At 41.4% G+C, this 9,827-nt stretch overlaps 1 annotated feature.

The window, feature by feature from the left end:
• Window positions 7,187-7,877: an enhancer, noted in NCBI's record as "OCT4-NANOG-H3K27ac hESC enhancer chr6:141709659-141710349 (GRCh37/hg19 assembly coordinates)". NCBI's record gives its function as "activates a minimal SCP1, AML or CMV promoter by ChIP-STARR-seq in naive and primed H9 embryonic stem cells {active_cell/tissue: H9 hESC(naive and primed)}" and the evidence as "EXISTENCE:reporter gene assay evidence [ECO:0000049][PMID:30033119]".

The following is a 9,827-nucleotide window of genomic DNA, read 5'->3' as shown; positions in this document are numbered from 1 at the left end:
GTGTCCCCCTTTCGTGCCTGATTTTGTAATTCTGTCTGGTTTGTATTTCTTTAATTTCTGCTCTAATTATCTTATCTTCTGCCTTTTGCTGGTTTTTTAAAATTAGCCTCCTCCTTTTTTTTTCTTTCTAGTTTCTTGAGGTGGAACCTTATGCTATCTATTAATTGAGACCTTTTCTCTTTTTTTAATGGAGGCATTTAAAGCTATCAATTTTTCTTCTATGCATGATTTAGCTGCATCCCATGAATCTTGCTGTGTTGTGCTTTGATCATCTCAAAGCATTTTACAATATTTATAATTTCATTTGGAACTTTTTTCTTTAGACCCTGGTGTATTAGTTCGTTCTCACACTGCTATGGGATCTTTGGGGTGTCGCATTTCTGGCCAGAAACCTGTGGCTGGTGGCGCCTTTGCCTAAGTTTTGCTCAGATCCACTGGGCTCATTCTGCCCACTCAGCCTGGCAGGCTGTGCTCAGCTCACACTACAGGCCTGGATCCCAAGCCTCCAAGGGAGACTGCGAGTCAGACATGGAGTGGTGAGGGATGTGTGATGGAGCCTGTGGTCCAGCCACTGCGCAGTCAGACACGCCAGCTGCTGCTGCGGGGTGGGCAGCTCCAGGTGCTGGCATGGGCGCCCGGCTCTCTGCAAGACTGCAGCTGGACCAGGCACACCACAAACAGCTTCCGCAGCTGGCACTGAGGAATCCAGTGGTCCCCAGAAGCTTGGAGGTGCTAGGAATCACAGGGCCCCATAGAGGGAGTTACAGCATTGGCTAGGGAAGCTCCCAGGTCTGGGATCCCTGAAGGGCCGCAGCTTTTCTCTACTTCTCTTCACTTGCAATGAGGTGAACAAGGAGCATGTTTCAGCCTTGTTTGTGCTACAGCTTTATTAGCCTTATCATTAGGTGGGTCTTGAGTTCTTGTCCTGCAACCAGGAAGAATGAGGTATGTAGACAAGTGGAGGATGAGCAAGACGAAGGAGAGCTTTATTGAGGGACAGAACAGCTCAGAGGGGACCCTCTTTCTGCAGCCAGGGTGTCTCGATGAGTGTTTAGCTCTTAGCAGAGAGGAGACCCTGGAGTGGGAAGCTCCTCTTTGCAGGTAGGTCATCCCATCATCTCTGCAGTTCTCAGCAGAGAGGGTAGCTCCTCTGCAGGTGGTAGTCCTGTTGTCTCTCCGTCCCCTGCTTTGGCTGAGCCCGGGGTTTTTGTATGAGCCTCAGAGGGGAGGAAGTGCGTGCTGTTTGGTCCATGGCCAGCATGGATGGGCCCGGAAAAGGCACCACAAGTTCCCACTCCGGTCCCCATGACTGTTAGCCTGGACCCCAACCTTGAGGCCCTCCCTGGCCTGAAGGTGGGACCTCACCAGGGACCTGCCCCTTCTGCCCAGGAGCCTGTTGGCCTCCTGCTGCTGTCCGTGGCACCAAGGCTGCTCAAACCAAGGCTGCTCGCACCAAGGGGCACTTACAGGCCAGCACCGAGCTGCCCTCATCCTTCCCACTCAGCCTCCACCCCCACGCTTGACGGTGGCCAAAGTCCAGAGTGGGCCAAGGCAGCAGGGGGCTAGCATGTCAGCACTGCCCAGAGCGTTTGCACTCCTGGCCGAGCTGTGACAGTGACCGAGCTGAGCCCAACCCTGTTCCAAGATCAGAGCAGGCGCAGGAGCGGGGAGAGGCCAGGCAGCGGGAGCAGACACTCTCAAGCCTGCAGGTACAGGAGGACCTTCCTGCGTCTCCTGGAGTGCAGAAATGCCTGGGTTATTGGTGGCGGCAGGGCAGCTGCAGCTGCACCTAAAGAGCTCCCACACTGCCAACTCAGAAAGGGGAGGGCCCCCACTTATCCCCGCCTCCCGCTGGCTCTGTGGGGTGTGCAGCCCTGGCCTTGCCCCCCTTGCAGCCTGGGGTAGGGGGTCCAGGTCTTTGCTGGGCCCTGGCCGATGTTTTGGGCAGGAGCGATGTCACCACAAGCTTGCCCCATTGGCCCTGGGGCTCAGAGGCACCCCGGGGTTCCCACTTGCCTGGCTTGTGGCCCTTCCTGTGGGGGTGCATCCAGGTGCGCATCATGGGTCCCAAGCCCAGCCATCAGGAGTGTCGGCCTCGGTGGTCACCCAATGCAGGGCAGACCCCAGGGACATGGCCCTGGGAGGTCCTGCACAGAGCCTCCTCCAAAAGCACAGCAAGCAGGGTGGGCACAGTGGCCGTGCCACTGGCTGGATCCCCAAAGCAGGCACTGCTCTCACTTCCTGCCTCTGCCCCACAAAGCACGGCCCCTTCCACTTGCCCCAGGCCCGCTCCGCCACTCCCCACACACCCCCGCCCCTCACAGCCCCTCCCCCCGCCCCCAGCTCCATGTGCAAAGCAAGGCACAGCCCTGGGCCCAGGTCCACCTCAGGGCCCCTCTCTGCCTGATCTTGCTGCTCCCCTGCCGGCAGACGACTCAACCTGGCCCCATTGTGGTATCCCCCAGGGCAGCGGGCTCTGCAGGTGTGGCTTCCCTGATGATTTGTTTTCCATTATGTCAGGATCAATTTTTCAGAGTCTTCCTTTCTTCAGCGAGTCAACACTGAACTGTCCGCTCAGCTTTTTGTTTCTTGTTTTGGGGTTGAAGTTTGGCTTCCGAATGTTGTTCTTGGGTCAGTGTAAACTAGTAGTCAGGCAATGACTGGCCAGAAATTTGACTTTGCAAAGGGGTTATAAGGATGTAACTCCATCATAAATTGAGGATCATCCCTCATGTGTGAGATATCTTTTGTCAAAAGTCTTGTTTTAAAGTTGTTTTATTGAAACATCTGCACATTTATTTGCTGAATCAGCTAACAAAAACCTAATTTCTATCAAATTATATTCACTTACTTGTGAACTGTAGGTAATGTCAGACAGTTGTGTTGATTATATGCCTATGATGTGCTTAGTGCAATGCCTGGCACAGAGTAGATGTTTGAGAGATGTGAAAACCCTATGGAATTACTCTCAGAAAGCATCTTTTATGATATCATTTGGACTTATAGTTTGAAAATAATGCATTCACATCCTAAATTTCCAGATTTTAGTTTTCCTTTATAATTTATCACAATTATCTACAAGTTTATACATGTTATTTATAATTTTAATTGTTATTATCTACTGTCTTCCATTCTAATAAAGGACAAACTTCTTAGGATTAACAGCTAGCTTTTCAAATTTCCCCCTACGTCTAACATAGTGCCTTTCTCATTGCTGGTGATTAAGATATTTGTTCAATAAAACATTTAATATGAACCAAGTTTATCACTTCCTTAATCCCTCTTCCTTTTCTTCCTTCTATCTTTCCTTTGACATGCATTATTAGTCAAATAACAACAGTTTAGATATGCTGAATATTTTTAGTTTAAGAAAAATAGGTATGACATTACACTATTTTTCAGTTTAGTTTAGTGGAGTAACTCACATTTAACTGTTTATGTATGTATGAATAAGAACAAACACAGTTTTTTTTGTTTATTTTGGTAACTGAATAAGATGAAAGAGGGAAAGAGGAGGAGGAGAGGAAGGGAAAGAAAGAGAAGAAAGAGAGAAGGAGGAAGGGAGGAAGGCAAGGGAAGAAGAAAATAAGAGAGAAGAGGAGGAAAAGTAGAAGCGGGAAAATGAAAAGAAGGCAATCTCAGTAGAATAATAGAAGAAGAGCTATGGAAAATATGAAATATCTATGTCAAGACAAACTGTTTCTCTTATAAAGAATGTTCTTAATACTGAAAAATAAGTCAGACTTAATTTTCTGAAAATCTAATTGAGTTAAAATGCATTAAATGTGTATGAATATCATGTAAACACTGTGTTTTGGAAATGTTCAAAGGCCATGCTAAATAAGGATGCAGTCTTTAACCCAACTGGAATGAATTAATCAATGTCAGGACTTATTTTAATTAATGTAATTTGAGAATAATTTTACTTAATTATTAAGGGATAAAGATGTGACCTCACTAATTAAAAAATGAATAACAGTTTAAATTATATTCCAAAGAACATTTTATGGAGTGACTATTATTAGGAAAGGATAACAGTGGATTCATATGTCTGTATTCACTTTCCAATAGGATGGATTTGTGTTTACTATCTGTAATATACAAAGCAACACAATATCCCAAGGACTATTAATGTTATCTTTTGTAAGAAAATAATTTCCTCTCCAATTATAATGATTTAAATAGGACTACTATTTTAAAAAGTGAGAATGAAGATGTAACTTATAGTTGCCTAAAATAAAACCAGAGAAATTTACATGTGACCTCCCTTAAAATTAAATATATGTAAGTTTGCAATTTTCTAATTTTTCAATCAGTGTTATTCAAAGTAAACATTCCCTAACTACAAAAGATTAGAGTTAGGCAAACTGCATCTCTAATCTAACCTTCACCATGACCACTTTTCCTTTTGTGCCTATTTCCTTTATTAGGTTTCTTTTGAAGCTCATCTAGCAAATCAGATACTAAGCAATTGTAATGGAAGATTAAAAGCAATTTCATCACGTTAGAGCAAAAGAACTATTCAAAATTTACTTACAATTGTTCCACTAATGTACCTGACACTAAGAAACCTCCTGTGTAGGTGAGAAAATATTTTTATTTTCTATGGCCTCTGTCAAAATAGCACTAATTAATACCACTTCTGAAGGCTTCCTCTGCTTGAAAGACTTGCTTACTTTGCTACTAGAATATAGGCCACTATATTTATTGTGGTAATTGTTTTTATTCAGCCAATTTTAAAAGGGGAAATATTTTATGCATGCATAGAAACATTTCACTGATCAGCATAGTGAGGAGAGTAGTGAATTACACTGAATTGGAGCAAGAGCTTATAGCTGATAAATGATTTAGAATCAGATAAAGACTTCTTCCTAAATAAAAGCATAACCACTGTTCTCATGCTGCTAGTAAAGACATACCCAAAACTGGGTAATTTATAAAGGAAAGAGGTTTAATTGACTCACAGCTCTGCAGGGCTGGAGAAGCCCCAGGAAACTTACAATAATGGCAGAAGGGGAAGCAGGCACGTTTTTCTTCACATGGCGGCAGCAAAGAGAAGTGCAAAATGAAGGCTGGGGAAAGCACCTTATAAAACCATCAGATCTCATGAGAAGGAACTCATGAACACAAGAACAGCATGGAGGTAACCACCCCCATGATTCAATTATCTCCCACTGGGTCCCTTACATGACAGGTGGGGATTATGGGAACTACAGTTCAAAATGAGATTTGGGTGGGAACATAGCCAAACCATATCAGCTACAAAACATGTTATAAGAAAATTACAATTTGTCTTAATTGGTACTTGAGAAACCTCCATTCTCCTTCTTAATTTGTGAAATGTTTCTAAATTTGTGATCTCCAAGCAACCTGAGTCTTAGAGATCAATGTTGTTCTAATACATAGCATATTTCCATTCAACTTCTCCAGTCAAAAAAAACACAGCCTCATATCAGGGTCAGACACATGATAAACCTTGACCAACAGCAACTGCCCTAAACATCCCTGTGACAAAATAAGGTTATGGTTACTTATGCTAACAAGAATTCCCACCTGTATTCATTAACAATTTATACTTTTCTAATAGTTTCATTTAAAAATGTGACATCCATTTTGAAATAATTTCTAAGTGTGAGGGAGGTAATTGAATGCATACTCCCTGAAGCATTTACAATGTCTGTTGGAAATTTTCAGCTATGTTAATATAAACATAATACAGAAAGAAAACCATCAATACATGCTATTACCTCACATTTTCTTTTTGAGAAATGTGGCTGATGATCACTTACTGCTCTACACTTCAGGAAATTGACTTGAAAAGTGTTTTTTAAATGCTTACAGAAGAAAAGTTCTGAATAATTACAAGTTTAATTAGTTAAAATATGTAAAGACAAATCTTTTGCATTCTGAAACTGTCAGCTCTCTACTAGCTTAAGTTTCTTGATTGGGCTTGGAAAGCAATTAGGCTGAGCTATTCCCTACTAAGCTACATTTACATGTTAAATTGCATTATGATCTGTCTTATGTTAAGAATATTTGTGAGAGAAACAATATTACGACAAGGATAGTATAGCATTATGAAAGAGCTAATGTAGCAAATAAATATGATTCTGGAACAGTAACTTTAAGCTTTGAAAGGCTATTTTCTGAGACAACTCAAAAACTTTAAGCATAGAAACATGTTTGAAGTCTAAGAGTTAGCAAAAATGTCAGTACTTCTTTTTTGAGGTAATATTGCTCTCTTCTTTCAAATTCCCTTTAGAATGTATTTCTTTCTTGGATTATGCAATAACCAGATTGAATGACAAGGGACCAAAATGTTTAACATTCTTCTGCTTTTCAACAATTTAGTATGTATATCCTACTAATTTAAAAATCAGTTTTAAAGTTGAATACTCACCAGTAGGACCGAAAAGATAGATAGATATGTGGATGGATAGATAGGTGGATAGAGAGAGAGAGAGAGAGAGAGAGGTAGATAGAGACAGGTAGACATAAATTATATAAATATACATATATGCACTATACAGATACTTATATACACAGGTGTACCTTGTTTTAAGTGCTGTTTGCTTTCTTGTGCTTCACAGATATTATGTTCGCAGACATCATGATTTTTAAAAATTGAAGGTCTGTGGCAACCCTCCATTAAGCAAGTCTACCAGCAACATTTTTCCAATGGCATGTGCTCACTTCATGTCTCTGTGTCACATTTTGACAACATATTACTTTAAAGTTTTTCATTATTATTACATCCATTATGGTGATCTGAGATCACTGATCTTTGATGTTACTATCGTAATTGTTTTGGGGTGCCATGAACTGTGCTCATATAAGATGGCAAACTTCACTGATAAATTGTGTGTGTGTTTTGGCTGCTCCACCAACCAGCCTTCCCTGATGTCTCTCCGTCTCCTTGGATCTCCCTATTCATTGAGACATAATAATATTAAAATTAGGCCAATTAATAACTTTACAATAGCCTGTATGTGTTCAAGAAATAGAAAGAGTCACACACCTCTCACTTTAAATCAAAAGCTAGAAATAATTAAGCTTAGCCAGGAAGACATAAAGAAAGTGAAGATAAACCAAAACCTAGGCCTTTTGTGCCAAACAATTAGACAAGTTGTGAATGCAAAGCAAAAGTTCTTGAAGAAAATTAAAAGTGCTACTCCAGTGAGCATATGATTGTTAAGAAGGTGAAACAGCATTATTGCTGATATGGAGAAACTCTGAATAGTCTGAATAGAAGACCAAACCAGCCACAACATTCCCTTAAAACAAAGCCTAATGCAGAGCAAGTTTCTAAATATCTTCAGTTCTATGAAGGCTGAGATTGGTGATGTAAACCAAAAATGAAATTCTAAGCACCCACAACCAACTGAATGGACCTCTCCTGTCAGCCAATGGCTCTCCAAAATTAACCTGAAACCTGAGTTCATGCAATGATGGGAATGGGTTGGTGGAACATGCCTCCTTATGCCCTTCTCCCTTTGGAATTCAGGCACGCTGACCAGCATTAACATTAAAACAGAGACCTTAATACAATCTACTCTCTCTGGAGCCTGCTACCTGGCGACTTCATCTGCCTAACAAAAACCTTTGTCTCCACAAACACTTAATTTAACCCAGACGCTCTGTTGTGTTGATTCCAGGTCTTTAGATAAACTCTTTCAACCAACTGCCAATTAAAAACAAAATCTGAATCCATATATAACCTGGAAGCCACCACTTCAAATTGTCCTGCCTTTCTGGGAAAAACAGTGTACAACTTTTTTTTTTTTTTTTTTTTTTTTTGAGACAGTCTCTCCCTGTCACCCTGGCTGGAGTGCAGTGGCATGATCTTGGTTCACTGCAACCTCTGCCTCCCGGGTTCAAGCAATTCTCTACCTCAGCCTCCTGAGTAGCTGGGATTACAGGCACCCATCACCACGTCTGGCTAATTTTTTTGTTTTTTTAGTAGAGACAGGGTTTCTCCATCTTGGTCATGTTGGTCTTGAACTCTTGACCTCATGAGCCACTTGCCTTGGCCTCCCAAATTGCTGGGATAGCACGTGTGAGTCATCACGCCCAGCCAATATCTTACACATATTGATAAATGTCGTGTGTCTTCATAAACCATATAAAACCAAGCTGTAGACTGACCACCTTTGGCTCATATTCTCAGGACCTCCTAAGGCTATGTCATGGGCATGTCCTTAATCCTGGCAAAATAAACCACTAAATTGATTGAGACCTGTCTCAGATACTTTTGGTTTATAGGGGGAAAGCTGCAGAAGAAAAAAGTTTGAAGCTAGAAGCAGTTGGTTCATGAGGTTTAAGGAAATAAGCCATCTCCACAACATAAAAGCACAAAACGAGAAGCAAGTGCTGACGTAGAAGCTGCAGCAAGTTATTCAGAAGATCTAACTAAGATCATTGATGATGGTGGCTACATTAGACAGTGATTTTCCATGTAGACAAAACTGCCTTGTATTGGAAGAAGATGCCTTCCAGGACTTTGATAGCTAGAGAGAAATCAATACTTGACTTCACAGCTTCAAAGAACAGGCTGACTCATTTATTATGGGCTAATGCACCTGGCAGCTTTAAGTTGAAGACAATACTAATTTTCTATTGTGAAAATTCTAGGGCCCACAAGAATTATGCTAATTCTACTCTCCCTGTGCTCTATAAATGGTATAACAAAGCCTTGATGACAGCACATTTGTTTGCAGCATGGTTTACCTAATATTTTATGCCCTCTGTGTAGACCTACTGCTCAGAAAAGAAGATTCCTTTCAAAATATTACTGCTCATTGACAATGCACCTGGTCACCCAAGAGCTCTGATGGAGATGTGCAAGGAGATAGGTATTGTTTTCACGCCCCTACCACAACATCCATTCTGCCGCTCACGGATTATGGAGTTATTTTTACTTTCAGGCCTTTTTAGTTAAGAAATTCATTTTGTAAGGCTACAGCTGCTAAAGATAGGGATTATCTGATGGATCTGGGTAAAGTAAATTGAAAACCTTGAAGGGATTCACCATTCTGGATGCCATTAAGAATATTTGTGATTCATGGGAGGAGGTCAAAATATCACCATTAACAGGAGTTTGGAAGAAGTTGATTTCAATACTCATGGATGAATTTTGGGGTTTAAAGATTTCAGTGGAGGAAGTGACGCAGATATGGTGAAACAGCAAGAGAACTAGAATTAGAAGTGGAGACTGAAGATGTGAGTAAACTGGTATAATCTCATGATAAAACTTGAACGAATGAGGAGTTGCTTTTTATGGCTGAACAAAGAAAGTGGTATCTTGAGATGGAATCTGCTCATGATATACATGCTATGAACATTGTTGAAATAAAAACAAAAGATTTAGAATATTCCATAACTTTAGTTAATAAAGCAGCAGCAGGGTTTGAGAGGATTGACTCCAATTTTGAAAGAAGTTAGACTGTGAGTAAAGTGCTATCAAAAACAAATATTACAAAGAAATATTCTGTGGGCTGGGTGCGGTGGCTCACACCTGTAATCCTAGTACTTTGGGAAGCCGAGGTGGGTGGATCACTTGAGGCCAGGAGTTAGAGACCAGCCTGGCCAACAAGTCAAAAACCTGTCTCTACTAAAATACAAAAAATTAGCTGGGCGTGGTGGCGAGCACCTGTAATCCCAGCTATTTGGGGAGGCTGAGGAACGAGAATCGCTTGAACCTGGGAGGCGGAGGTTGCAGTGAGCCGAGATCAAGCCACTGCATTCCAGCCTGGGCAACACAGTGAGATTCCATCTCAAAAAAAAAAAAAAAAGAAAAGAAAAAAAAGAAATATTGTGAAAGAGTTAAT

Source organism: Homo sapiens, chromosome 6, assembly GCF_000001405.40.
Source record: "Homo sapiens chromosome 6, GRCh38.p14 Primary Assembly".
NCBI lineage: Eukaryota > Metazoa > Chordata > Mammalia > Primates > Hominidae > Homo > Homo sapiens.
This window is presented reverse-complemented; position numbering and strand designations above follow the sequence as displayed.